The sequence below is a fragment of the Homo sapiens genome, chromosome 11, assembly GCF_000001405.40.
Source record: "Homo sapiens chromosome 11, GRCh38.p14 Primary Assembly".
In the NCBI taxonomy this organism is placed as follows: domain Eukaryota; kingdom Metazoa; phylum Chordata; class Mammalia; order Primates; family Hominidae; genus Homo; species Homo sapiens.
In genome coordinates this window covers 6,395,095-6,423,079 of record NC_000011.10, presented here as the reverse complement: position 1 = coordinate 6,423,079, position 27,985 = coordinate 6,395,095, and the positions used below count along the sequence as shown (strand labels likewise).

General features: G+C 51.1%; 1 protein-coding gene across 9 annotated transcripts, besides 3 other annotated features; it reads left to right on the top strand.

The window, feature by feature from the left end:
* Window positions 3,619-4,018: a silencer, noted in NCBI's record as "silent region_3101". NCBI's record gives its function as "represses an Ori minimal core promoter by ATAC-STARR-seq in GM12878 lymphoblastoid cells {active_cell/tissue: GM12878}" and the evidence as "EXISTENCE:reporter gene assay evidence [ECO:0000049][PMID:35858748]".
* On the top strand, window positions 3,627-27,956 carry APBB1 (amyloid beta precursor protein binding family B member 1). Of its 9 annotated transcripts, none has more exons than NR_047512.2 (15): window positions 3,969-4,095; window positions 11,719-12,453; window positions 19,258-19,433; window positions 19,536-19,592; window positions 19,676-19,761; window positions 19,872-19,935; window positions 20,355-20,504; window positions 20,871-20,998; window positions 21,098-21,103; window positions 21,392-21,506; window positions 21,651-21,735; window positions 22,008-22,091; window positions 26,865-26,980; window positions 27,118-27,294; window positions 27,801-27,956. NR_047512.2 is itself a non-coding variant. In NM_001164.5 (15 exons), the coding sequence occupies exons 2-15, from the start codon at window positions 11,733-11,735 to the stop codon at window positions 27,544-27,546; spliced, it is 2,133 nt and encodes a 710-aa protein (NP_001155.1). In that variant the 5' UTR covers window positions 3,986-4,095; window positions 11,719-11,732; the 3' UTR covers window positions 27,547-27,955. The 9 variants fall into 9 exon arrangements, 8 of the variants coding, with proteins under 8 accessions (NP_663722.1, NP_001155.1, NP_001244249.1 ...); NM_001164.5 differs by having other exon boundaries at window positions 3,986-4,095; window positions 27,379-27,955; NM_001257321.2 differs by lacking the exons at window positions 3,969-4,095; window positions 11,719-12,453 and adding exons at window positions 17,663-17,947; window positions 18,296-18,335 and having other exon boundaries at window positions 27,379-27,956.
* Window positions 4,029-4,218: a silencer, noted in NCBI's record as "silent region_3100". NCBI's record gives its function as "represses an Ori minimal core promoter by ATAC-STARR-seq in GM12878 lymphoblastoid cells {active_cell/tissue: GM12878}" and the evidence as "EXISTENCE:reporter gene assay evidence [ECO:0000049][PMID:35858748]".
* Window positions 17,467-17,761: a silencer, noted in NCBI's record as "tiled region #8482; HepG2 Repressive non-DNase unmatched - State 22:ReprW, and K562 Repressive non-DNase unmatched - State 22:ReprW". NCBI's record gives its function as "represses a minimal TATA promoter and a strong SV40 promoter by Sharpr-MPRA in HepG2 and K562 cells {active_cell/tissue: HepG2 | K562}" and the evidence as "EXISTENCE:reporter gene assay evidence [ECO:0000049][PMID:27701403]".

Genomic DNA, 27,985 nt, shown 5'->3' with positions numbered 1-27,985 from the left:
CCCACATTGGTCAGAACCAAATGCAGCATTTGAGGTGGCTCATAGGCTATTCATTGGTTGCTCCCACACCATAGAAAGCATCAGAAGAGGGAAGAGATTACAGTAGGGAAAGGATGGGTGAAAGGCACAGGTTGATTCCCCATTGGTCAGGAGACTTTGCAGACCTCAGAGGAGATCAGGAATTCAGGAAGATCGCCTGCGGGTCAAATACATAAGGAAAAAGATGCCCATGTGAACTGCACATGGGCATCCCTAGCTAATTAGAGTCCTCCCTTCAACCTCATCATGCAATCTATGTCCTTCTTACCTGAAGAGATTTCCCTGAATACTGCAGCCTTCCTGCTCAATGAGATTGGGAAGACAAATATTTTGGTGGGCTATCTGTAAATGGGTGATACTTCTGGATTTTTTTTTTCATTTTCTCAAAAATAAATCTAGATGTCATTTTTTAAATCTACAATTCCATAGCTAATCAACCAACTGATCACTGATTTCTGGGAATTCTACCTCTTGAATATTTATTAAACCTATGCAATTTTCTCCATCCCTAGTCCCACCACCAGAGTCCAAGCCATCATCATCTTTAACCTGGTCTCTTGCTTCCTAACTGGTCTATATTCTTCCAATTTTGCTTTCCACCTATCTATTCTTCCTCAGGAGCTGAAAGCGATCTTCTAAAATGCGAGTGTGAACATGCCCCTCTCCTGCTTCAAACCCTTCCATGATTTTCCATTGCCCTTAAAATAAAGGTCAAACCCTTAGCTCAGCATATAAGGCCCTCCTTGATCTGGCACTTTCCCACCTTCCTATTTCATCTTATGCCATTCTCCACTATCACAACTGTTAGGCTGTTCTTGTGTTGCTGTAAGTAAATACTTGAGACTGGGTAATTTATAAAGAAAAGAGGTTTAGGGCCAGGTGTGGTGGCTTATGCCTGTTATCCCAGCACTTTGGGAGGCCAAGGCGGGCGGATCACGAGGTCAGGAGATTGAGACCATCCTGGCTAACACGGTGAAACCCCATCTCTACTAAAAACACAAAAAATTAGCTGGGCATGGCAGTGGGTGCCTGTAGTCCCAGCTACTTGGGAGGCTGAGGCAGGAGAATGGTGTGAACCCGGGAGGCGGAGATTGCAGTGAGCCGAGATTGCGCCACTGCACTCCAGCCTGGGGGACAGAGCGAGACTCTGTCTCAAAAAAAAAAAAAAAAAAAGAAAAGAAAAGAGGTTTAATCGGCTCACAGTTCTGCAGGCTATACAGGAAACATAGCACCAGCATCTGCTTGGCTTCCAGGGGGTCCTCAGGAAGCTTTTACTCATGGCAGAAAGCAAAGTGGGAGCAGGCATCCCACATGGCTGATCAGAAGCAAGAGAGTGTGGGGGGAGAGGTGCCATACACTATTTATTTATTTATTTATTTATTTGAGATGGAGTTTCACTCTGCTGCCCAGGCTGGAGTGCAGTGGCGTGATCTCGGTTCACTGCAGCCTCCGCCTCCTGGGTTCAAGTAATTCTCCTGCCTCAGCCTTCCAAGTAGCTGGGACTACAGGTGCCCGCCACCATGCCCAGCTAATTTTTTTGTGTTTTTAATAGAGATGGGATTTCACCATGTGGACCAGGCTGTTCTCGAACTCCTGGTCTCAAGTTGATCTGCCCACCTTGGCCTCCCAAAGTGCTGGGATTACAGGCCTGAGCCACCACGCCTGGCCATGCCACACACTTTTAAATAACCGGATCTCACAAGAACTCACTCATCATGGGGAAGACAGCACCAAGCCATGAGAGATCCACCCCTACGACCTGAACACCTCCCACCAGACCCCACCTCCAGCATTGGGGATTACAATTCAACATGAGATTTGATCAGGGACAAATATCCAAACTATATCAACACCCATACTGACCTTCCTGTATTTCTCCTGCTACTTGGAATACTTTTCTCTTCTCCTGGCTGACCTCTAGCTCCTTCATCCCTTTCCCTCACTGAATTGTCACTTCCTATGAAAGCCTCCTAAACTTCCCAGGCCAAATTAAGCCCACTCACATAGCTCCCGGTACATCTCCTTCAAGACACTCATCACATTCCTAATTACATATTTAATGTCTCTTTCCCCTGTTAAATTTCAAGCTGTATGAGAGACGGAACTGTATCTTGTTTCTTGACCTGTTGCTAGCACCAAGGACAGTACCTCATACATAGTAATTATTTGATGAAAGAAAATGAATGAATGAATGAATGAGGACACTTTTGTTCTTCTGGGTAATTCTTCTTCATCTTTCAAGAACCCAGGTCAGATGTCATTTCCTCCAGGTGAGATGCAGTCAAATCTGATTCGTCTTTAGATCCCTAGGGCCTGGCTTGGGACCTGATACATGGTTCATATATCATAGGCATTTGTCAAATCATTATAAACTATTGGTTGTGAATTCATAATTGTTGAAACTGAATGATAGGTATATGAGGGTTCATTATATTGTTCTGTCTGCTTTAGTATATATTGGAAATTTGCCATAATAAAAAGTTAAAACATTTATATTTACCACAAGTAAAATAAAAGTATATTCAAAGATGACTTTGAAGCTTCTGGCTTGGGAAGCCAGTAGTTGGTGTCATTCATTGGAATGGATGGAATGGAGTTGTGTCCAGTGTGGGATGTGTGTTGTGTTGTGTGTGTTGAAGAGGGTTCTTTTTCACCCCAGTGAAACTCCTTAAAAGACTAATAAAGGGGGATGAAACAATAAATTGAGGCTGGACACTGTGTCTGACGCCTGTAATCTCAGCACTTTGGGAGGCCGAGGTGGGAGGATCGCTTGAACACAGGAGTTCCAGACCAGCCTGGGGAACACAGTGAGACCCCCTCTCTACTAAAATACAAAAAGCCAGGCGCGGTGGCACATGTCTGTGGCCCAGGTACTCCGGGGGCTGAGGCGGGAGGAATCTGAGCCCTGGAGGCTGAGGCTTCAGAGAGCCATGATCTTGCCCCTGGGTGACAGAGTGAGACCCTGCCTTGAAAGAAAGAACGAACTCAGATTTGGATATCTTTAGTTTTAGGCACCTGAGAGGGATTAGCATGTAGAGGCTTTCTGGATGGTAATATAACCTCTCATTATCCTTGATGGCCTCTGGGTCACTGATCTGACCATTGGGATGTATCCCACTATCCAGGGAGGGTCTGTAGTAAGTATTGCACCCCACCATCTTCCTTACATCTTTACACTTTTCATTCACAATATCCCCTTCCTTGTGAATTTCTACCGGGGAGCAATGTATTCTTGACATTTTCCAGGCCTTGATGTCAGCTTTATGCTCAGCAGCAGAGGTATTTCAGTGTCAAGAAACATCGGAGTTCCAGTCTAAATTCATCACTAACTGTGACTGCGGGCAAGTCGCTTTACCTCTCTTAATCTTAGCCTCAGCCTCTGAAAAATGAGGATAATAATTCTGGTGATTTTACAGAGCTGATGTGAAGATTAATGCGCGTTAACGGTTTAATAGAGAGCCCGGCACGGTGTAAGTGGTCAATAAATACGAGCTATTATTATGAGCAACGCTGTGTCCTCAGAGCCTCCCCACCAGGACGTCAGGGAGCGGTGCAGCAGGAGCGGCGCAGAGTGCCTCCCGGGAATCCTTCCCCGCGCGGCCGCGGCGCCGCACAGCCGCCGCCATTCGGGCTCCAGCCCCGTCCGCGCGTCTCCCGGCGTGGGTGCGGGACCAGGGCGCTGCGGGGCGCGCAGGGTGAGTCTGTGGAATAGTAGTGGAGGACGGCGCCGCGCTAGGCGGGGGTCCCAGGGAGTCGGCTGCAGGGGTGTCTGCTGGGAGGGCTGGACCGCGGGGCTCACCGAGGTCCGAGGGCCGCCCGCAGGGTGAGGCCCCCAAGAAGCTGCGGCAAGTGCCGCGCCCGCCGAGCTCGCTCCCGCGCCCGCCCCAAGATGGCGCCCCTCCCCCTCCCCTTGCGCGCGCCTCCGCCGCTCGGGGCGCGGCCCCGCGGCCCGCGCGCTCCTGGGCGGGGGATGTTGTGATGGAGAAGCCGCGGCGGAGCCCGAACCCCGCAGCCTGAGCCACCTCCGTCATCTGGGCCCGGGGCCTCACCGCGCAGGTAGGAGGTGTCCCTGCCCCGGCCCAGCCCCGGTGGCTGCGTCCCGATCACCAGCGGCCGGCGGACCCTGTAGCCCCTACCCTGCGGCAGCCCGGGTCCCCCGGCCGGCCCCATCCCCCATCCCCGGGTCGCCCTTCCACCGCGCGCCCGCAGACCGTCCTCTCATACCCACCATCGCAGGGTCCACTCGGGCCCTCACACCGTCCCTTCCGCTGCCCTTTACCTCCTGCCCCTCGGGGTGACTAGGGGCGGGTATGGAGGACGCGAAGCGAGGGGCAGTGGGTGTTGGGGGAGGGGAGGCCCAGGTCCGGGAAGGGGACGTGGGGTGGGGTGGGCTGGCAGGCCGCGCCGATTCCAGCAGGGGTCCCAGGCCCTGGATCTGTCAAGCCGCATTCTGTTGCCCTCAGCGACCGAGGGGTGTGCCCTGGGGCGGCTGTGTCCCCAGCTCAGCCAGGAGGCCTAGCACTGCCAAGAACACTGATTAGAAGCAGTTTTCCCACTGCCAATTCCTAACCTGTTTTGTATCGGCCTGTGTATCTCTTGCATTCTGAGCCCCTCTAGCTATAGTCCCAGCTCTCTCCGCCCTTCAGAGTCAACGCTTGCTGTCTTCATTTCCTTACTTCCCATTCATTCTTAAAAGCACTCCACTCTGTGTCCCTGACACCCACTGAAACTGTCTAGGCCAAGGTCACCGGAGACCTCCTTGTGGAGAACTCCAGTGGACACTGTTATCTCCTTTACCTTTGAGTAGTATTCGGTGGGGTATGTCAACTCACTCTCCTTGAAGCATTTTCCTGCTTTCTGCCCTACAGCATTGTCTGCTCTTCTCAATCTCATTTGCTTCCTCTCCTCCTCTCTTTAGATGCTGGTGAGGCTCTTGGCTCTGTCCCGAGCTGTCTTCTCTCAGTATCTGTTCTTTCTCCCCAGATATTTTATCTACTCCCAAAGCTTCAAATTTCATATATATGCTAATGATTCCCAAATTTATATATCCAGCCCAGACTTCTTTCCTGAAATCCAGACTCATATGTCCAGCTGCTCTCTTGACATCTCCTTGAAAGACAAACAGGAGTTCCAAACCTATAGATTCCAAGCTAAATTATCTTCTGTGGTTTTCTCTGTACCCCACTTCCAAATCTGTTCTTCCTTCGAATCTCAAAAATGGCTCTTTGCCAATCTGGAGTCATGAGCAAGACTTGAGATTAACCCCTCTCTCACTCTCTGCATCTCATTTCACCAAGTTCTGTCACATCCACTGCCTAAATATTTCTCAAATCCATTCATTTCGCTCTTTCCTCACTGCCACCAAAGTTAATCTGGGCCACCACCATTTTTTTTCCTTGACTACTTTAATAGCATACCCTCTTGCCTACCTCCCTTTAACTGTTCTCAACACAGTACCCAGAGTAATCCTTTGAAAAATGCTTCCAATCACTTATTCATGCAATAAATATGATTTCAGCACCTAATATATGCCAGGCACTGTGTTATGTCCTGAAGATATAATTGTGAGCAAAAGAGACTGAGTCCTTGGAGCTGACAATCTAGGAGAAAAATCAAATAAGAATAACATTACAAATGTAATATGTACCATGAAGAAAAGCTGTATGGTGCCTTGAGAACGCACAAGAGCAGTAGCTAAACTGGTCTCGGGGATAGGGAGAGAGGGTTGGAGGACAGCTTCTCTGAGAACATGACGTTTGAACTAAAATATAGTGGATGAGTAGAAGTTAATTCAGCTTAGAGAGTAGGAGAAGAGGTCCCAGGAAGCATGGAAATCACATGCAAACACCTTGTAGAAGGAAAACACATGTCTTCGAGGAATCAGAAGAAGGCTACTGAGGCTGCAGAGCAGTGTGACCAAAGCCAGGGGCAGGGAGGAGGAAGGCAGGCGCCAGACTGAGCAGGAAATTTAGGCCATGTTAAGAATTTGGTCTTAAGGGCCAGGCGTGATGGCTCACGCCTGTAATCCCAGCACTTTAGGAGGCCAAGGCGGGCGGATCACCTGAGGTCAGGAGTTCAGGACCGGCCTGGCCAACATGGCGAAACCCCATCTCTACTAAAAGTACACAAAAATTAGCCGGGCATGGTGGTGTGTGCCTGTAATCCCAGCTACTCAGGAGGCTGAGGCAGAAGAATCGCTTGAACCCGGGAGGCAGAGGTTGCAGTAAGCCGAGATCTTGCCACTGCACTGTAGCCTGGGTGACACAGCAGGACTCCATCGCAAAAAAAAAAAAAAGGGAATTTTGTCTTAAGGTCTTTGTCCTTGATGGTAGTGGATGTGGAGAGTAGATGAAGTCCAGAAATTTTTCTCAGAGAGGAAATCATCAGTACCTAGAGATGGATTGAACATAGCAAGTGCAGGAGAAGGACATGTCAAGATGTACCCCTACTTCAGATTCACAGAATAGGATGGATTCTATCATTCCATGAGCCGGGATCCTGAAAGAGGACCAGTTAGTGTGTGGGAGTGGGAAACATGAGTGGGTCTATTAGCTTGAGACATCCAAGTGGAGATGTTGAGTAGAAAGTTGAATGTACTTGTCTGGAGCTCAGGTGAGGGGTCTGAAATGGAGATTTGAATTGGGAAATCATCAGTGTATAACTGAAGCTGTGGGCATTAATGAATACTTATACTGATTATAGGATGAGAAAGAGGAAGGGGCATGAGAATAAGCCATAAGAAACTCCAGCAGGTAATGGCTAATAGAGGAAGATGAGCCAGCAGAGGAGTCTAGGAACCCAGCAAACAGTAACAAGAAGTGTAAAAGATGAGATGAGATGAGGAGTGTGGAGATGAGAGTGTGGAGGCCCCGGATAGAGGCTGGATGAGAGATTCACGGGGTCAGATGCTGCTGGGAGGACAACCAAGACGAGCACTGTGTCTGTTGGATTGAATGACACAGGGGTCATGTTGACCTTGGTAGGAGCTGTTACTGAGTCGTGTTGGGAGTGGAAGCAGGTTTGGAAAGGGTTGAGGAGTGAGTGGGAGGTGAGGAAGTGGCAACAGTGAGTGGAGACAACTCTCTCAGGAAGTTTGCCTGTATGGGGGAGGAAAGAGAGCAGTGAGTGGATCTGGAGGAGCGTCAGGTCAAGTTGGGAGACCGTGGATCCTATTGAGAAGGAGAGGTTGATCATATAGAGGAGAAAATAGATAAACAGTGGTATAAAATTCCTGGAAAGGCATCATAGGAAGAATCCAAATCATAGGTGAAGCAGTTGGTTTTGGGAAGGAGAGAAAGGGATAGGTGCTGAAGTTTGGTTAGGTTTTTATGTTTGAGGATGTTACCCAGTTGGATGGCTTCCCTTTCCTCTGTGAATCAGGAGGGGAGATCAGCCTCTGAGACGGGTGGCCAATGGAGAGTTATGTCCTAGTCTCAGGCAGGCCTTTGCTGATGTCTTGGCTGTAGTAAGCCCCAGGTTCCTGTAATGCCCTCCTCTTCCTCCTTCATGATATTCAGTCAACAAATAGGGAATGCTATGGGTGCCAGGCACTGTTCTAGATGTTGGTGTTACACTGCATTGTAACAAGTTGTTCAATGACTGTTTCCCGCTGAACTGAGAACTCCTCCAGAGGAAGAACCATTTCTTTTGTCTTCATCACTCTCCCCTGTGTCTAGCACAGTGCCTGGCATATGGGAAGCTGTCAGATTAGACAACTCCTGACTTTGAGCAAGACTCAACCCCAACCCCTGTGGTCTGATGCCAGGATCTTCAGGCTTAGTGACTACTTCTTTCACTTCCTGCCCCGAGGCCCCTGCCCAACTCCCTGCCTTGAGCCAGAACCCAGTTGGCTCTTTGCATCCTTTGGTAACTCCAATGAGAGGGGAGAGATTAGGTTGTGTTCCTTCTTTAAAAAATTGGACTGAGATCATCTTTTTGACCTCGAGCAGTGGGGTGTTGGTGACCACACCACCTCAGGCTAGATGCTCAGGCTTCAGCACTTAAACAGTTTCACCATTCTTCCTCTAATACTTCCTGCCCTGGTGACCAGATTGGCGGGGCTGCCCTGAGGTCAACTTGGCTCTTCACTGTTTCAGCCTCACAGTGCATGCACTCTTCTCAGATCATATCTCCTAGTGCCTAGGAGGTTGGTCTCTGCCTGACCTTTGAGAAACCTGGCTCTGTACACTACTGCTTCAGAGAAGGGTTTGCCATCCTTAAGGTCCTCTGAGCATGGCAGAGTCGTGGAGTCTTCTGCTTCCTGACACCCATGGAGATGCCACTCTTGAACAGTGTCTGTGCCAAGATGTTGGTTTAAGCTACCTCCCTCGCTCCCTTTTCCTAGATCTCAGCCCTCACCTCTCCAGGATTCCTGTCCCATCTTACTTCCCACTCAGGGACCCTTTGGCATTCTCTGACACCCTCCCAAACACTCCCTTTGCTCCTCCCCAGCCCATTGGGCCACACAGCCTTTCTTGGTATTTATTCCCAGCCAGTTCTGAGCTTCCTGGATCCTCCCACCCCCTGTGTCTGTCCCGTTCATCCGTCCTTTCCTTCTGCAACAGCCCAGTCTGTGTCGGCACACGGCACACTCTCTTTGGTAATGGGAATGTGAAATTGAATAAGACACCGTCTCAGATATTCTGATAGAATGTGGTTCTGGGTGTTGTGAGACACGAAGGAGAGAACAGTCACTTGATGGTGGGGAGAGAACAGGAAAGACTGCTTAGGAGCTGTAACTGCTGAGGTTAGTTTTGAAATACAAGCAGAGGTTCTCACAAGGGGAGACAGAATTCCAGGCCGAGGGAGCAGTATAAACAAAGACCCAGGGCTTTAAGAGTGTGCGACATGTTTCAGAATCCGCCACGCTTCATGTGGCTAGAGTATAAGGTATAAAGGAGGCGGGAGGTGGGGAGGGGACTGACAGGTTATAGAGGCCGGCTTAAGAGGGCTCTTGGGTGTCTGCGAACGAGTGCAGGCGTTATCCGAAAGGCAGTGGTGAGCCCTCTCATTTTCTGAACCAGGGAGTGACACAATCTGGTTTCCATTTTTGGAAGATTACTGTGGTTCTGGGAGGAGGTAGAGCTATTTTTTTCTTCATTTATTCCAGTGGCTGTGAGTTTTCTCATTGGCCAGGAGGAGTCACACTGAGCAGATCAACAGCCCCACGTGAGGCAGACACGTGCGCAGAAACCTTTTTCATCTTACAGATGTGTGGGTAGCATAGCACTAGTGTCTGAGGAACTAGAGACGTAGAAAGGTGAGCTATGGGGCCGGGCGCGGTGGCTCACGCCTGTAATCCCAGCACTTTGGGAGGCTGAGGCGGGTGGATCACCTGAGGTCAGGAGTTTGAGACCAGCCTGGCCAACATGGTGAAACCCTATCTCTACTTAAAAGAAAAAAAAAAAAAGAATTACAAAAATTAGCTGGGCGTGGTGGTGGGCACCTATAATCCCAGCTACTCAGGAGGCTGCAGGAGGTTGCAGTGAGCTGAGATCGTGCCATTGCACTCCAGCCTGGGCGCACCGCACCTGGAGAGATGGGCAAGCCCTGCTCAGGTAGCTGCAAGACCTGTGCTCAGCGCTGAGAACACAGAGGGAAGGGGGGTAGTGGTGAGTCAGGGAAAGAAAGAACTCCTTAGTAGAGGAACAGGGAGATAGGGAACTCTCAGATAAGACATCAAGGAGAAAGGTCTGTACAGTGGGAATGAGAAAGAGCACAGTGCAGTGTTTGTTGGGATGGTCAGTGAGGGAGAATTGTCTGTTGGGGGAAGGGTCGGGTAGGGCAAGAGAATCAGTGAGGCCATCGAGGGAGGAGAGAGTAATGTGGTAGGGGCTGTCTGAAGGAGGGCTTGCATGGAGGGCTCAGGATGAGAGAGAAGTGGGCAGTGGTTGGTCAGGGAGAAATAACTGAAATCGGGGGCTGGTGAGGGTCCAGGGAGAGAGCACTTTCTCTTGGGGGTCCGGGAAGGAGAGCAGCAGAGCAACTGGAAGGTCAGGGAGAGTGGGGAGGATGGAATGGGGCCGAGGGTGGGTCCCTGGGTGGCGGGCTGGAAGGATAGTTGGGACTCAAATGGTTGCGGAGAAACTGACCCACGAAGGGCTGTGAGGAGGCAGAGGGAGGGGTCTGGAGGGGGAGCTGTCCTTGCGGAACAGGACGTCCTCTTACCTGAGAGGCAGGTGGAGTTTGTTTGGGGCACCATAAGGCATAGTAACGTAACCAAAGTGTTTTCTGACACTGGCAGAGGAGATGCCAAAGCGAAGCCTGGAGGAAATGGGGACTGATTCATACATTCATTCAGCAAATATTAATGGAGTTCCTGCTCTGTGCCAGGACTACGCTAGGCACTAGGCATACTGTATTTAACCAAAAAGGCAAAATCCTCACCAACATGGAAATTATAAATTATAGTCATGAGGAGACAATCATTAGACAAAGTAAATAATAAATTGGCTTGTCAGATGGTGACAGGCGCTGGGGAAGAGTTTAGGGATTGCTGAGGAGGGGCGGAGGTAGCCTGTGGTTTTAAAATGGGTGTTCAGGGAAGGCTTCACTGAGGCTGTGACATTTGGTCAAAGATCTGAAAGGCTGGGCCGGACGCAGTGGCTCATGCCTGTAATCCCAGCACTTTGGGAGGCCGAAGTGGGCGGATCACGAGGTCAGGAGTTTGAGATCAGCCTGACCAACATGGTGAAGCCCCGTCTCTACTAAAAATACAAAAATTACCTGGGCGTGGTGGTGGGCACCTGTAATCACAGCTACTCAGGAGGCTGAGGCAGGAGAATCACTTGAACCCGAGAGGCAGAGGTTGCAGTGAGCCAAGATTGTGCCATTGCACTCCAGCCTGGGCAACAAGAGCAAGATTCTGTCTCAAAAACAAACAAACAGACAAACAACCCCCAAAAAACAAAGATCTGAAAGGCTGAGGGGCCCAGGGGAAAGGCTCCCATAGTGATCCAGGACAGGGCATTATGAGGGCTGGCAGAGGGACCAGTGCCCAAGGGGAGCTACTTCATGGAAATTGTCACCAAGATGTAGCTTCATCTGGCCAGAGAAGCCATGAATTGCAGCCGAGCGCCCTCCCTCTGTGACCTGCCTTCCAGTGCCATGCCCTGTAGGGCTGGTTCTGCAGCTTATTTGCTCCTGTCCTCACAGTCCCTAGTATGGGGTGGGCTTGGGGGCTGGTTGAGCTGAGTGATTTATGGGAATAGGAACACAGCCGGAGGAGCTTACAGTGATGGGGCTTGGGATGGAAGTGCGGCCGGAGAGGGGCAGTCAGTGATCAGTGTCCAAAACACACGAGCCGGTCCCACTCTAGTGGTGTTCCTGGCACAGTAAGCCCCGGGTGGATGAGCTGGGGGGTGGGGAGGCACAGAGAGCCATTGTGTGGAGGCCTTGCTGGTGGGACCGAGGGCAGGCGCCAGCTGTGCCATCCCAGAAAGCTCAGGGCAGGGGATATAGGGATGGGGTGGGCCTCAGACCTGGGCCTGGACTGTGATGGGGATGATAGTGCTGGGACAGAAGTTGAACCCAGTCATTCTCATAGGATAGAGAGCCATGGGTGCTAGCCTGCTTAGTGCAGGGAGATGAGGAGGCACAGGGCATAGCCCTGGGGCAGAAGCAGTGATGCTGCTGTTCTGGACCAGAGGCTCAACAGCATCTCCCCTCCGCACCCCACAGGAGCTGCCAAGGCCATGTCTGTTCCATCATCACTGAGCCAGTCGGCCATTAATGCCAACAGCCACGGAGGCCCCGCACTGAGCCTACCCCTGCCTCTGCACGCTGCCCACAACCAGCTGCTCAACGCCAAGCTGCAGGCCACAGCTGTGGGACCCAAGGACCTGCGCAGCGCCATGGGGGAGGGTGGTGGGCCTGAGCCAGGCCCTGCCAATGCCAAGTGGCTAAAAGAGGGCCAGAACCAGCTCCGGCGGGCCGCCACGGCCCACCGTGACCAGAATCGCAATGTGACCTTGACCTTGGCGGAGGAGGCCAGCCAGGAGCCTGAGATGGCACCCTTGGGCCCCAAAGGCCTGATACACCTGTACTCTGAGCTGGAGCTCTCAGCTCACAACGCAGCCAACCGAGGCCTACGAGGACCTGGCCTGATCATCAGCACTCAAGAGCAGGGGCCAGATGAGGGAGAGGAGAAGGCGGCCGGGGAGGCCGAGGAGGAGGAGGAGGATGATGATGATGAAGAGGAGGAGGAGGACTTATCTTCTCCCCCAGGGCTGCCTGAGCCCCTGGAGAGTGTGGAGGCCCCTCCCAGGCCCCAAGCCCTTACAGATGGCCCCCGGGAACACAGCAAGAGTGCCAGCCTCCTGTTTGGCATGCGGAACAGTGCAGCCAGTGATGAGGACTCAAGCTGGGCTACCTTATCCCAGGGCAGCCCCTCCTATGGCTCCCCAGAGGACACAGGTACCTTGTGGAGCTTGACATGGGCATGTGGGAGGGTGTGAGGGCAGAGGTTAGGACTCTCATACAGAGGCCAGTGCCAGCCTGATGTGAGCTGAGAGCCCATACCCTGAGGCCACAGCAGGCCATGTCCAGGCTTTTTCATTCAGAGAGTGCTTGGACATTCTGGTAGATCTGACCATCATGCATGCCCGGATGGATGGATCTATTCATTATGCATGCCACCATGGTTGATAAGTGGACTAGTTTACTGGGCACTGACTAGGTAACTGGCCCTCTGCTCAGCATTTTCAGGCTTTATCCTTACAATAAAGCTGTGAGGTAAATATTATGATGATTCCCATATTACAGATAACAAAAAAGAGATCCAGAGAGGTTTAGTAGCTTTCTCGAGACCACAGACAGGCTGAGATTACAATAGAGCTGAAATCTAAACCAGGTCTCAGTCCAGGCCTGAGCTCTTGGCCCCGTGTTATGCTGCCGCCAATGCATAGAGCACAATGCACTCAGGTGCACTTGGGACAGTCGGCCCCGTTTTTTTTTTTTTTGAGACAGAGTCTCACTCTGTCGCCAGTCTGCCCCGTTTTAACAGGTCACGCCTGTTGGGAGCAGCCAGCAGCTCCCCACAGAGGTCTGTTTGGAAAGACTGGGAATGTTGTGTGCTTATAATCCACATGCTCCAGCACCATTGCAAGGATACAGTTTTGTCAGGAGTAGGATATTGACTAAAAGTTAGAAAAGAAAACCCTTTGGGTAGGGGGAGGAGAATAGATACTAGGACTCCAGGGCTTAATCATTAAATATGTCCATTTAAATTAAGCTGAGTCTCCACATTTTCTAATGTCGTGTAGCGAATACAGGAAAAGCTGAGGAACAAAGAGTGGAGATAATGGGCTATAGTTACAACCAAAACCCTGGAGTTTTGTAGATGGAGGTCTAAGAAAGATTAGGAAAGACCCCTATCCTTACCAGGTGGCGGACACAATACCCATACCCCAAACTGTGCAATCTTTGTGGAGAACATGCAGTTCAGATGAGCCTAGGGCTGCACACCATCCCCTTTCGAAAAACTCATTCTGGACATTTTCAAACATACACAAAAATAGAGAGAAAAGAATAATGAGCCTGATTTACCCACGAGCCAGTTTTACCAATTATCAATACATAACTAATCTTGCTACCTGCATGCTCTCTTCCGTTCCTAGGCCCAGCGTAGGTTATTCTGAAGCAAATACTTTTATCTATAAATGTTTACAGCTGGGTGCAGTGGCTCACACCTGTAATCCCAGCATTTTAGAAGGCTAAAATGGGTAGATTGCTTGAGCCCAAGAGTTCAAGACCAGTCTGAGCAACATGGCAAAACCTCTCCTCTATAAAAAAGACAAAAAAATTAGCCGGGAGTGGAGGCATCAGCCACTGTGGTCTCAGCTACTCAGGTGACTGACCTGAGAGGATCATCCGAACCCAAGAAAGTCGAGACTACAGTGAGCCATGATTGAGCCACTGCATTCCAGCCTGGATGGCAGAGAGAGACCCTTTCTCAACAACAACAACAACAGTTTACTTTTGCATTTCTGAAAGATAAAACTCTTAAAAAAAAAACCCACCACAATATCATTATTGTACCTACAAAAATTTAATAATAATTCTTTAATATCATTAAATATCCTGCCAAAAAAAGGCTGGATTGAGCCTGGGCACAGTGGCTCACGCCTGTAATCCCAGCATTTTGAAAGGCTAAGGTGGGTGGATTGCTTGAGGCCAGGAGTTCAGAAACAGCCTGGTTAACATGGTGAAACCCTGTCTCTACAAAAAACACAAACATTGGCTGGGCATGGTGGCTTATGCCTGTAATCCCAGCACTTTGGGAGGCCGAGGCAGGTGGATCACGTGAGGTCAGGAGTTCGAGATCAGCCTGGCCAACATGGTGAAACCTTGTCTCTACTAAAAATACAAAATTAGCTGGGCGTGGTTACAAACGCCTGTAATCCCAGCTACTCGGGAGGTTGAGGCAGGAGAATCACTTGAACCCGGGAGACAGAGGTTGTGGTGAGCTGAGATAGAGCCATTGTACTCCAGCCTGGGCAATAAGAGCGAGACTCCTTCTCAAAAAAAAAAAAAAGAAGGAAAAAAAAAATGTAGAGACAGTGTCTCACCATGTTGCCCAGGCTGGTCTTGAACTCCTGTTCTCAAACAATCCTCCTACCTTGGCTTCCCAAAGCACTAGGCTTACAGGTGTGAGCAACCATGTCTGGCCTGATCTATCTGTTAAAGTTATGTTTGATCAAGTTCCCCTTCTATTTTTTTCGTTGTTGTTGTTTGCAGTTTTGCTTTTGTTTTTTAACTGGAGAATCATGTTGCTTGTCCTGAGTTTTCTATGGTTTGGATTTTTCAGACTCTCTCCTGTGGTCATATTTACCATGCTCCTCTTCCCCTGGATTTCCTGTAAATTGGTAGTTAGTTCTAGAGCCTTGATCAGATTCAGATTTGAGCATTTTTGTGTTTTGCTTTTGCAAGAATATTTCATAGGTGGTATTAAATACTTCTACTAGGCCGGGCGCGGTGGCTCACGCCTGTAATCCCAGCACTTTGGGAGGCCGAGGCGGGTGGATCATGAGGTCAGGAGATCGAGACCATACTGGCTAACAAGGTGAAACCCCGTCTCTACTAAAAATACAAAAAATTAGCCGGGCGCGGTGGCGGGCGCCTGTAGTCCCAGCTACTCGGGAGGCTGAGGCAGGAGAATGGCGTGAACCCGGGAAGCGGAGCTTGCAGTGAGCCGAGATTGCGCCACTGCAGTCCGCAGTCCGGCCCGGGCGACAGAGCGAGACTCCGTCTCAAAAAAAAAAAAAAAAATACTTCTACTAAAGGCAAAGTCTGATTGCCTCTCTTTTTTGTGATGTTAGTGGCCTTTGGTGGTCATTGTCTCAACTCCTTTTAAAAGGAACAGCCCCTCCTGCACTCCAGCTGATTATTTTTGGGATTGGGGTGAGGAAAAATATAGTCTCAATGCAGCCAGTTAAAGGGAAACTGAAAACTAGATATTGGTGTAAAATAGCCCAATTTCTAAACGTTAACAACAAATTCTATTTTTTAAAAAGCACTGTGCAGGCCACACACAATCTATCTGAGGCTTGCATCAGTCTGCAGGTTGTAGGTTGGAAGTTTGCAAGACTAGGGGGTGTGAGTCAGTGACCAAATAGAGGCCTAGTTGCTCACTTGCCCCTGGGATGGTCACTGTGGGGGCTGCAACTCTGAACTACCTATGAAGCTTCTAGGAGTAGGGGGATAGTACTGCTGAAGAGCTGGGGCGGGTTTGCTGGGCAGTGACCTCAGCAAGGATGTTGGAGTGGCAAGAGGATTCTCAAGGATCATGCACTGGTGGAGACATTGTGAATTGAGGATAGAGGTGGGGGCCAGCCCAGGAAAGGGGCCAAGTCACTCTTTTACAACTGTGTTGCTATGACCATGAGGGCTGCAGAGAAGGTTTGTGCTCCTGCAGAAATGAGGCTAGAATTGAGCAAAAATTATATTCTCCTTCCTATTGTAGGATATTCATAGAGCTATGGATTGAATGCATAAATGCATGAATTCATGAATTAAATGAATGATGAATGAATAAACTTTACTACCTGTATTGAATTCATACTCTGCTCCAGGCCTTATCGTAAATGCTGGAAATGTATACTATGGGGCAAAGATGTTCTTACCTCCTGGCCTTCACAGCCTGGTGAGGAGACAAAGAAAGAAACAAGTGGTTATGATCAGTGCGATGAGCTCTCTGGGGCTGGGGAAGTACAGGAGGGGCCCCTGACCCTGCCTGTGAGAGTGGTGGGGGAGAGGGCAATGGGTCAGTTTTAAGAAGGGACCTGTATACTGATGTCTGAAGGAGAGGTAGGTGATAGCCAGGTGAAAATCGAGAGTAAGGGAGGTGGGCTGGGAGAGGACAAGGGGGCATGTCCCAAGCAAAGAGAGAGAAGGGGAGTGGCTGGAGGTAAGGCTGAGAGGCAGACAGGGGTTCATGACAGCACATAAAACCTGGGGAGGAATTTGGACTTTATCCTGAGGGCAGTGACAAAACAATTAAGAGGATTCCGTTGGAAAATTACTTGATTAGTTTAGCATCTCAGAAGAATCATTTGGGCTGTACTGTGCAGCTGAGATTGGAGGAGACCAGATAGGAAGAGAAAGACCAGTTATGATGTTTTTGCAATGATGCAGGTTAAAAAAAAAAAAGCTAGTAGCCTGGGCTATGTTAGTTATGTGGGGTGGAGAGAAGGGGAAAGCTTTAAGTCAATCACTGATTCCTGAGCAAGTGAGTACACCTGGCTTCACCACTAAGGCATTTGTGGATGAACGAATGAAGGAAGGAAGGAATGATACGTGAACATTTAATGTATTTTATATGTAAGTGTCGCATGAATCGATGCAGGAGTGAAGGTGTGCGTTCTGGAATAAATGCATGTGTGTGAAAGCAAAGGCCGGGGTGGGCTGCGCTTGGAGGGAGATGTGCCAAGCTCCAGAAGGGCCTCCCAGATGGCCAAGGGGGGAGAAACTGCCCTTCCAGGACAGATCGGAAGGATGAAGCTCTTTGAAGCAGGAAGGTACAGGCTGACAGGGATGGCAGATGGATTGGTGTGTGTGACTCAGTCAGGAGATGGTGAACTGGTCCCCAGATTCCAGAAGTGTCCAGCCAGCCCTCATGAAGCAGGCTGTGGCTGTGGAGGGCATGGAGGCCCTAGGGTGCTGTTCCTGGAAGGTTTTAGCAGGAGAGTCCTGAGGCAATGGAGGGTCTCTAGGGAACAGCAGGTATTCCCTGAGCCTCAGCTAAGTTTCAGGTGCCTATTGAAAACCTTATTCCATAGAGTGTGAGTTAGGGGGAAGTGGGGGTGAGGAGAGGCGGTGATGGCTGCCTAGAAGGTGGATGGGCAAGAGCCCCTCCTCTTTGGGTGTCTGTGGGCCCACGTCATTTGGAAGCTGAGGATGGTGAAGCACCCTGCCTGAATAACTCTCGTCAGGTGTGCAGCCACCTTGGCGTAACCACGCCCACTCCCAGCCCTGCTGTGTCTGGTTGCCCAGCAGCAGGGTCTTGGGACTGCCTGTCCCTTAGTACTGCCTCTTGGACCAGTCAGGATTCCTGGTTTCCCTGGTAACGGGAAGCACGTCAGCAGTCTGGGCGCTCCCAGCCGGTCCTGGTGCTGCGGTTGCCGAGGAGACGCTGCAGCCTAGCTGGGCCCTGGCAGGTGAGGGGTGGGGGGTGGTGCTGGGAAGCCCCAAGCCCAGCCTCAAGCTTGCTGGGGCTCAGGACCTCAAAGCCCACCCTTGGGTTCAAACTGCTGTGCAGGTCCTGGACAGGGGCGGGATCCCTGAAGGCCTTGAAACCACACCCTATTTATGCTGACAGCTATAGGCTCTGCAGGGCCCCAGGCAGCTGGGGTATTCCTTAGGGGCTGAGTCTCCTGGTATCCCTAAGACTGGGCTTGGCTTAGGCACTGAGGTAACCACTGGAGGGTGGGATGGAGATTCAGGATTGGGGGAGGGGAGCCAGGGCGAGGAAGAAGAGGTGTGAGCAGAAGGGGCTGGGGTCTCATGAACCTCCCTTTCTCCTCCCTTCCCCACCCCCCAAGGAGATTCCCTAGCATGGTGGTCCTGGCCCCTCCCTAGCAAGCTCCAAGCGGGGGAGGATCTTGCCTGGCAGACGCTCTGCCCTGGTGAGAAGGGGGCGGGATGAGCTTTTCTCTGCAGCCCAGCACCAGGCTGTGAGCCCAGCTGGCTGGGCTGGAGGGGCTGTGAGGAGGGAGGGTGGAGGCAGGAGGGGCCGGGAATGAGCGCCATGTTCTCCCAGGACTTTTTCCTGGCCATTATCCTGCAGGACAGCAGCGCAGGTGAGGGGCAGCATGAGGTTGGGCCTCATGTGGGGTGGGGCTGACAGGGAGAGAAGAGTTAGAGGACGCATGAGCGGGTTACAGGGTTGGAGTGGTGTGGCTCTGCCGGCAGACAAGGGTGTATGACACAGATGCGAGGTATGTGTGTATGTGCATGACATGTTTGCTTGCATCTGTGTGCAGCAAGGGTCAGGAAGTGAGCGTCTGTGGTGTCTGCACACATTTGGCAGGGTTTGACGTGTGCCGTGTGTCTGAGTGTGGGTCCGCCTGTGTGTGTGGTACCCACACGTGTGTTGGGGCCATTGTGGTGTGGTATCTGCACACCTGTGTGGCAGGGGCTCGTATGTTTAGCTGCATGCACACACACCTCTGTGGTGTCTGCATAAGTGTATGGCTAAAGTTTGTGTGTGTGTGCCCCTGCACATACATGTGCACCTGTGTGTGATACCTGCCATCTGTGCTGGCATTTTCTGTGTTGCATACCCTGGTGTTTGTGGCTGCACAGGTGTGTGGTAGGGCTTGTATGTGTTGTGTGTCTGTGTATACATGTACGTGTGCAGGAGCTAGAAAGTGTTCACCTTCGTGTTAACTGAGATAATAGATATGTATGAAAGGAGGTTAATTGGGGTCACCCAACATTCATTGCTCCCTTCCTTCTTCCCTCCCTGCCTTCCTCCTTTCCACAGTGTGGCCACATTAGCCACCAACAGGGCCCAGGAGGAGACCTGAGCCATGTCCCCTACTGGTGGCCCCACATGTGGTGACTCCAGACTATAGGCTCTAGGCAGAAGCAGGAACTGTGTTGTGGTATAGCTCTTCCACCACCCCTTCTCAACCATGGGGTCTCAGAGGGGACCGGGCATAGGCACCAGCTGTCTGCTCTTTGGGTAGGCTGACCCTCACCAAGCCTCCCACCTGGCAGATTCCTTCTGGAACCCCAACGCCTTCGAGACGGATTCCGACCTGCCGGCTGGATGGATGAGGGTCCAGGACACCTCAGGGACCTATTACTGGCACATCCCAACAGGGACCACCCAGTGGGAACCCCCCGGCCGGGCCTCCCCCTCACAGGGGAGCAGCCCCCAAGAGGAGTCCCAGGTGAGGCTCACAGGCCTGTTGATTTTGGGCCAGGGGTGGAGGGAGTGTGTGCTGCTGGAGTAGGATAGGACACTCACTCACTACTCCCATCCCTCCTCCTAGCTCACCTGGACAGGTTTTGCTCATGGAGAAGGCTTTGAGGATGGAGAATTTTGGAAGGTGGGTAAGGGGACCTGCTTTACCACGGGATAGCTGGAGGAGGGGCATCATTTTGATACTGATTCCTCAATCCCCTTCCCAAGGATGAACCCAGTGATGAGGCCCCAATGGAGCTGGGACTGAAGGAACCTGAGGAGGGGACGTTGACCTTCCCAGCTCAGAGCCTCAGGTGAGCTGCCAGATGCAGTGAGCTGGCAGTGGGATGGATCTGTCTGGAAGGGGCCTTGGGACAGCTCCATTTATGGGAGCCCTGTGCCAAGTATTACCATCTGCCTTCAGCCCAGAGCCGTTGCCCCAAGAGGAGGAGAAGCTTCCCCCACGGAATACCAACCCAGGGATCAAGGTTTGTTCAAGACTGACACCCATTCTGAGTCTGGGGCCCTCTTATTTGTCAGACAGCCCCTAATGTTGTGCTCTGAGGGGTCTCAGCGCAGTTCCCCAGGTCCTGAGTTAGGAGTTCTTCCAGTCTCAGCACAGAGCCCTGTGTCTGAGCTGGAGGCACTTCAGTTTTTAAATCAACCAGCCCAACAGCCAGGTTGGGGGCCCTTGTAGTCTTAGTTCAGGTGCTTTTTTGTACTAGCTGGGGTCTCATCTGACATCTCCCTCACCCTAACCACATCCCCCTCTCCCTAACCACATCCTGTTTGGGGAGCTTCTCCGTCTTAGTTCAGAACACCCTGCCTCCTGCCACACTCTGTAGTCAGGAACTCTCCAGTTTTGACTCAGATCCTCTACCTCCTGCCCCTCTTCTGTGTCTGGCAGTGTTTCGCCGTGCGCTCCCTAGGCTGGGTAGAGATGACCGAGGAGGAGCTGGCCCCTGGACGCAGCAGTGTGGCAGTCAACAATTGCATCCGTCAGCTCTCTTACCACAAAAACAACCTGCATGACCCCATGTCTGGGGGCTGGGGGGAAGTAAGGACCTGAGCCGGGGGTAGGGGGTGGTACTGTGAGAGTGTGAAGGGAATTATGAGAGATGGGAGGTCTGACCTGCCCACAAGCAGGCTGGGGAAGGGGGATATTGGCCCATCCTAAGTGGCAGCCCTGTGGGATGGATGAGCGACCCCAGGCCAGGACCTTGGGAGATAGTCGCCTAACAACGGTGGAGTCAATGTGAGAGATGACACGTGACCTCCACTAGAGTGAGGCCTGCAGGGCGGGCGGTCTGACACCAAAGCAGGGGCCCCAGAGCTGTGGCTAACATCCCCTGAGCTGCAGGGGTCAGAGATCAGCCACCATCCTGGCTGGAGTCCCACTGAGTGCCTGCTTCTGGTCCTGCAGGGAAAGGATCTGCTACTGCAGCTGGAGGATGAGACACTAAAGCTAGTGGAGCCACAGAGCCAGGCACTGCTGCACGCCCAACCCATCATCAGCATCCGCGTGTGGGGCGTCGGGCGGGACAGTGGAAGGTGGGAATAGGGCTTGGGATTCGAGGGTGGGAGTTCATCCAGCATCAGAGTCCTCCTCTCTAACTCTGTTATTTGCCTCTCTTGTGCTGCTGGACCCAGAGAGAGGTACTATGCCTATTTTCCCCCTCCTACACCTGGACCAGATGCCTGGAAGCACCCAAGCTCCCCTCTTCTGCCCTGCCCCTTCCCACCCGCTATGCTCCACCATTACCCTCCACCTCAGCATGCTTGCCTGTCTACCCCTCCCCCCCAAGAAGGCAGCACCTATGGGGGACCAGCTGTGGGCAGAAGCCCTGGAGGAGCTGTGATGGGCAGGGAGGACGTGGGTGGGGTGGGGACCAGGCTCAGCACTGGATGGTACTGGGAGACACTGAGGTGCCCCTTCCCCAACAGGGACTTTGCCTACGTAGCTCGTGATAAGCTGACCCAGATGCTCAAGTGCCACGTGTTTCGCTGTGAGGCACCTGCCAAGAACATCGCCACCAGCCTGCATGAGATCTGCTCTAAGGCACGGCCCCCTCCACTCCCTGGACTAGTTGCCACCTTTGCTCTACAAGGGTGTGGGTGGGGTCACTGAGTGCTGTAGGGGGGCCCCAGGGCAATGAGGCTCTAATAGATTCTCCCTGGCTCCTCGCCTCCCTTCCTTCCTCAGATCATGGCCGAACGGCGTAATGCCCGCTGCTTGGTAAATGGACTCTCCCTGGACCACTCTAAACTTGTGGATGTCCCTTTCCAAGGTCAGTGTCAAAACCCCTCCAGGTCCAGCTCAGCTTTGTTGGCAAAGGTGGGTGACCCAAGGAAAGGCATGAGCTCCTGGACAGCGCTGATAGAAAAATGAACACATGAAGACTGAATACTCCAATACGTGGAGGGACTCCGGTTAAAGGGAGGCAGGGGACGAGATGAAAGTAGGGCCTCGGCTGGGCAAGTGTCCAGCTTATGCCCTGCTGGTGGGGCTGCGGGTGAGCAAGGTCTGCCACCATGATCAACCTTCTCTTCTTTCCCATAGTGGAATTCCCAGCGCCTAAGAATGAGTTGGTCCAGAAGTTCCAAGTCTATTACCTGGGGAATGTACCTGTTGCTAAACCTGTTGGTATGTGTGTCCTTCTATACCCAGGGGCTGCTACCTTGATCCTAAAACTCTGCCCCTACCCTCTGCCTTCCAATACTTCTTCTACCAGACCTTCCTCATGCTTGGTGTCTCCCTACCCTTTAAAATGCATCCCACCTCCCCATACTTCTGTCCTAGCTCTATTTCCTGTCCTGCCTATAGCAGCAGTCAGCACGCCTTCGCTGAGCATCAGCCACGTGAGTGGTGCTGAACCAGGCACAAAGGGAGACCCCACTCCTTCATCCCATGGAAAAGCTTTGGTGGGATTGGGAGGCTGATGTTAGATGACTGGAGGACACCAGACAGCAGCCTGTAGCTGGGTTTAGTGTTACAGCACCAGCTGTGGGCTGGGAGCATCTGGAGAAGGAAACAGTGAGCATAATTGTCACATACTTCATTGTTGCAAAGAATTTTTTTTTTTTTTTTTTTAAAGACAAGTCTCGCTCTGTCCGCCAGGCTGGAGTGCGGTGGCGTGATCTTAGCTCACTGCAACCTCCGCCTCCTGGGTTCAAGCAATTCTCCTGCCTTAGCCTCCTGAATAGCTGGGATTACAGGCTCCCGCCACCACGCCTGGTTAATTTTTGTATGTTTAGTGGAGACGGGGTTTCACTGTGTTGGCCAGGGCTGGTCTTGAACTCCTGACCTCAAGTGATCCACCTGCCTCGGCCTCTGAGAGTGCCGGGATTACAGGCGTGAGCCACTGTGCCTGGCCTGATCTGGTTAACTCTTATATTTCAGTGCTTTCCTAGTGTCTGCTATTTATTTGTTTATTCACTTAACAAATACCTTTGAAGCTTACCATGTGGCAGGCCCTGGACTAGGCACAGGGAGAACAGTGGCCACAGTCCCATTTTCCTAGAGGTTATAGAAGGTTATGGTAGAAAAAAACCAGGAATTAATAAAATAATCACACAAATAAATGTGTGAGTTATTCGTTGAGAGAAAGTAGCAAGATATAACAAAGGAATTTCATCTAGTCTGAGGTTGTAAAAGACTTCCCTGTGAAAGTGACATTTGAACTGAAATCCAAAAAATAAGTAGAAGTGAATGCGGTCAAGTGGAATGGAGGTGGGGGTGGGATGGGGGAAGATCAGGGTCTACAGTGGGAGGCACTTTGGCATTTCCAAGGTACTGAAAGAAGGCCAATGCAAGATGAGGCCGACAGCTGGGCAGTGGTCAGGCTGCCAGGTCAGGGACCTCAGGGGCTATGTTAATGATTTTTTCTTCATCCTAAGGGCAGCAAGGAGTTATTGAAGTCTCCGAGAGTGCACTTGCCTTAATCAGATTTGAATTTTGAAAGCTCACTTTGGCTATTTCATGGAGGGGACTGTTAAGTGGGTGGAGGTGGATGTGAGCAGCTCAGTTAGGAGGCTCTTGCTGTAGTCCTGGCCAGTAATGAGAGTATCTTGGGCAACAATGGAGCTGAAGAAGAGTGCGTGGATTCAAGAGCTGTTTAGACGGGTATAGTCAACAGGCCTCAGTGATTGGTTCGATGTGGGTGAGGGACAAGGATGACTCCTAAGTTCCTGGCTGTTGGACCTTCTGGATAGTGGATTATTTCTTTCAAGGTGGCAGATGCTTGAAGAGGCCAATTTGAGCGTAGAGATTGTGAGCTCACTTTTGGACATGCTGAGTTTGAGATGCCTTTGGGGAATCTGAGAGGCAAAGTCAGGTTGGCAGTTAGATTCACAGATCTGGAGCTGAGAGGAGAGGTCTGGGCTGGAGATAGGAGTTTTGGCATTATTGGGTTGTAGAGGTAATCAAAGCCATGGATGTAGAGTAGCTTGGCCCTGGAAAGTGGGCATCCTGAAGTGAGAAGGGAAATGAAGCTAGTCATAGCCTTGAGGCCCTCCAACATTCAATGGATGTGTAGAGGATGAAACTGCCAAGGATAGTGACAACTGGAGAGAGGCAGGAAGAAGAAAAGAGGCTACTTGAAAAAGAAGTGGTAGGGTATCATGTCAAAAGACACACAGGAAGAACTCAACAAATGTTTGATGAATGAAATAAAAAATGAATTAATGAATAAATGAGACTTGCTTCAGATTACATGGCCAGGAAAGCTAGACCTGGGAGTCAAACCCCGGTCATCTTTAATTCTCTGCACTTTCCCTTATACCGTGCTGACTTTCACGTCCAAAATCTTACATTGAAAGAGGGGACCCTTCTTAGAAAAGGTGGGGATTGAACTGAGGTTTTGAAAGAAGGTTTGGATTTGCAGAGTGGAGTGGGTATTTCATTTGGATTCGATGGCACTGCCAAAGACTTGGAGCTGGAGGTGAGAAAAGCATGCTGACCCTTACGCCTTTGCTTTCCTCCTTCTCGTCCTCAACTTCTAAACCCTTGTTGGCTCTTCCATTTGTTACCCCCATTCCCATATGTGCTTCTTTCCATCTACCACTTGACTCTGGTCCTCCCTATGCCAGATCAACTGCCTGTGACCCTTGACTGCTCCGCTTGGACAAGTGGTCTCTAAACTTACTTCCTGCTTTATCTTATGCTCGTTTTTAAACATTAGCCCATCCAGAAGCTGCAATATTCATTCATTAATTATTCATTTATTTAACAAGTGGTAATGAATGCCTGATACATGTCAGGCACTATTCTAGCTTCTTGGCATGCATTAATCAACAAAACTGACAAAGATCCCTGCTTTTATTTAGCTGACATTCTAGCAAGGAGAGACAGACAATAAAATGAGTAAACCATGGAGTATGTTAGAAGGCAACAACTGATACAAAAAAAAAAGAAGAGAAAAGCACAGCAGGATTAGGGGGATTGCATGTGGGGCTGGAGGTCAAGGTCACAGTGTAGGTTTTAGTCCTGAGTTATCAAATCTGACAGCCTTTTTCCATACCTTGGTCCACTGCTTTCACTGCTTCCCTGCCAAACTTCCCAAGACTCTGAGGCCAGGCTCCATCTCCCACAGCCCCATCTATTCAGCAGTTTGACTATGATGTCCCTTTCACACACCTGAACTTTGAGATTTCCAATTGCCCTGGCCTAAATGTCATAAACATCACACCCCTCTGCCTGGCTTTTGAAGCACTCTGCAATCTGACCTGGCCCATCCACTTCTGTGACACTTGGTTTTACCAGTTCGGGTGCATTTGCCCTTGTTGCCTTGAGAGTGACTTGCTCATGCATCTGGAATTTCTTCAGCAGATAAGCCCTGTGTTAGAATTGGGGACAGAGGGATGAATTAAATTCCATTTCTGTTCTTGAGATGGCCACGGCCCAGTGTGGAAAAAAGTTTTCCAGCAGTTACAAGACGTTATGGTAAGAGTTGTCTCAGAGTTGTCCTCTCCCTGCCCTGCAGCAGGCATGGCTTCCTAGACAGCACCTAGTTGGAGCCCTGAAGGATGACAGTCTGAAGTTTCTCAGTCCAGCAGGGAAAGGGCACTCAAGACAGAGGCTTTTCCCTCAGTTGCAGTCTGTGTCTCTCAAGGGCATTCTCTTCTCTTGCTTTGTATTCCCCATCTGCTTTACAGGCCATTTGCCAAGATTAGTTGTTAATAATAATGCTACACAAATCATCTGAAGCTCAGGGAGCAGTAAAATATGAAGCTTGACAGCTCTGGTGAGGCCAGTTTTTGGAAGACTTGTATGCTTTTGGGAGCAGTTTGGCCTTGATCCAGCTAGAAGTCAGATGAGCAAGGCCAAGATGGGAGAAGACATGCAAGGAAGACATTTGTCCTCTGCCCAAAAGAGTCCACGTGGTCTGCTCCTAGTGGGAGCTGAGAGCCACTAAAAGGGGCAGAGGGCCTGGGAGTGGACCACAGAGGCATGTGCCTTTTGCACTGGCATTGTGCAGAGACAGTAGATCACACAGCCAGCGTATGAGTGTGGGGACTAGAACTGATGCCTTTGCCACAACATGTGCTCCTGCCTTGGTGCTCTGCTGAGTGCAAGCAAAAGTGGGATCCATGAGGGGAAATGTTTAACAGCAGTTTGAGGTGGAGGAGGCCATGTGTTATAAGGGAAAGTTGATTGATCTGAAAGTCAGGAACCTTGGGTTCCTTGGCTCTTGAGCACATTATAGACATTCTTGAGTAGAACTAAGATCTTGAAAGCCCTTCTAGTTCTGAAAACTAGTAATATAGAGAAGAGGTAGGAGAAAGGCATGGCTAAGAACCCAGGCTCTGGAATCAGACTGCCTGAGCTCAGGTCCCCATTCCTCGATGTGACCTAAGGCATATTACCTATCTCTTCCGTTTCCTTATTTGTAAAATGGAAATAAAGTAATCTATTGTGATGTTGTTGTGTGGGCACAAATGAGGTAATACACTGTAATGACTTAGCACAATGTGATACAGAGTAATCACTCCTCAGATAGATATCTTAAAAAATAATTGGGTCTTGGGAGAGGACTGGCCTGTAGGGTCTGATTTGGGAGTTATTGTGGTGTGAAGCAATGTGATGTCTGAGTGTGATGAGCGCTGAGAGAGCATGATTTGGGGAAATCAGAACTTTGAGAGGTCAGTCAGTTCAGAAGTGTGGAGGAATAGGCAGAGCCGGTGAAAATAACGAGCCTAGGATCCAAGATTTTAAAAAGTAGGAAAATGTCCAGTTACTGAAGCCAGGGGAGGAGAGCCCCAGGGAAGGGATACTTGGACAGCGTTGTCCAAAATGTAGGCTGGCAAAGTGGGGATGGGGCAAAGGCCCTGGGTTTGATTGGGTGGAACTAGAGGTCCAGGGTAGAGCTGGGGTATCCTCTGTCTACCCTCAGTGGTATCTTGTGTCCATATGTTCTAGGGGTAGATGTGATTAATGGGGCCCTCGAGTCAGTCCTGTCCTCCAGCAGCCGTGAACAATGGACCCCAAGTCATGTCAGTGTGGCCCCTGCTACCCTCACCATCTTGCACCAGCAGGTAAAGAGCTGGGGTAGAAGTCGTGGCTGCGCCTTGCCATAGAGGGGAGACTGGGGGTGAGGGGAAGAGCTGCTAAGATGGATGTGGAACACAGTGTGGGGTTGGTGTTCCTTTTTAACTGAGTTCCCTCCATGCAGACAGAGGCAGTGCTGGGAGAGTGTCGGGTGCGTTTCCTCTCCTTCCTGGCCGTGGGCAGAGATGTCCACACGTTTGCATTCATCATGGCTGCCGGCCCAGCCTCCTTCTGCTGCCACATGTTCTGGTGCGAGCCCAATGCTGCCAGCCTCTCAGAGGCTGTGCAGGCTGCGTGCATGGTAAGCTACTAGTAGGGTGGTGTGGTGGTGGCGTGGCCCCATGGGAGGTAGGCTGGGGAGTGACTGCCCTGCTTGCCTCCGCAGCTTCGCTACCAGAAGTGTCTGGATGCCCGTTCCCAGGCCTCCACCTCCTGCCTCCCAGCACCCCCTGCTGAGTCTGTGGCACGGCGTGTAGGGTGGACTGTCCGCAGGGGTGTTCAGTCGCTGTGGGGCTCCCTGAAGCCCAAACGGCTGGGGGCCCATACCCCATGAAGAAGCCCCCACCTTCCCTCCACCTGCTTGTGTTGGGCCCCAGGGAACTAAAGGGTGTGGGTCAGGGAGGGGTCTAGAGGCTATTCCTAGGCCTCAGGCCTCCCAAATATGCCCCTCCCCAGTAGCTACGGTTCCCTGCCTAGGAGCTGGGGAGGGAGAGATCTAATCCCTTCAAGGAAGTGATAACACTGGAGTGGTAACAAGAGGAGCAGGAAGCAAGGCCAGCCCTGGTTCTCCATCCCCATGTGTTTCAGGTGGAACAGGAGGAACTGGTCCAGGCCAGGCCTCATCCTCCTGGACCCAGCAGGGGCAGAAGGAGGAAGGGACTGGTCCAGGCATGGGTCCCTTCCCCCTGCTCCATGGGCACCTCTGCTGTATTGATATCACTAATAAAGTCTGTCTGCACTGCTGTGTGCCTTCTTATGCCTGTACCACACCA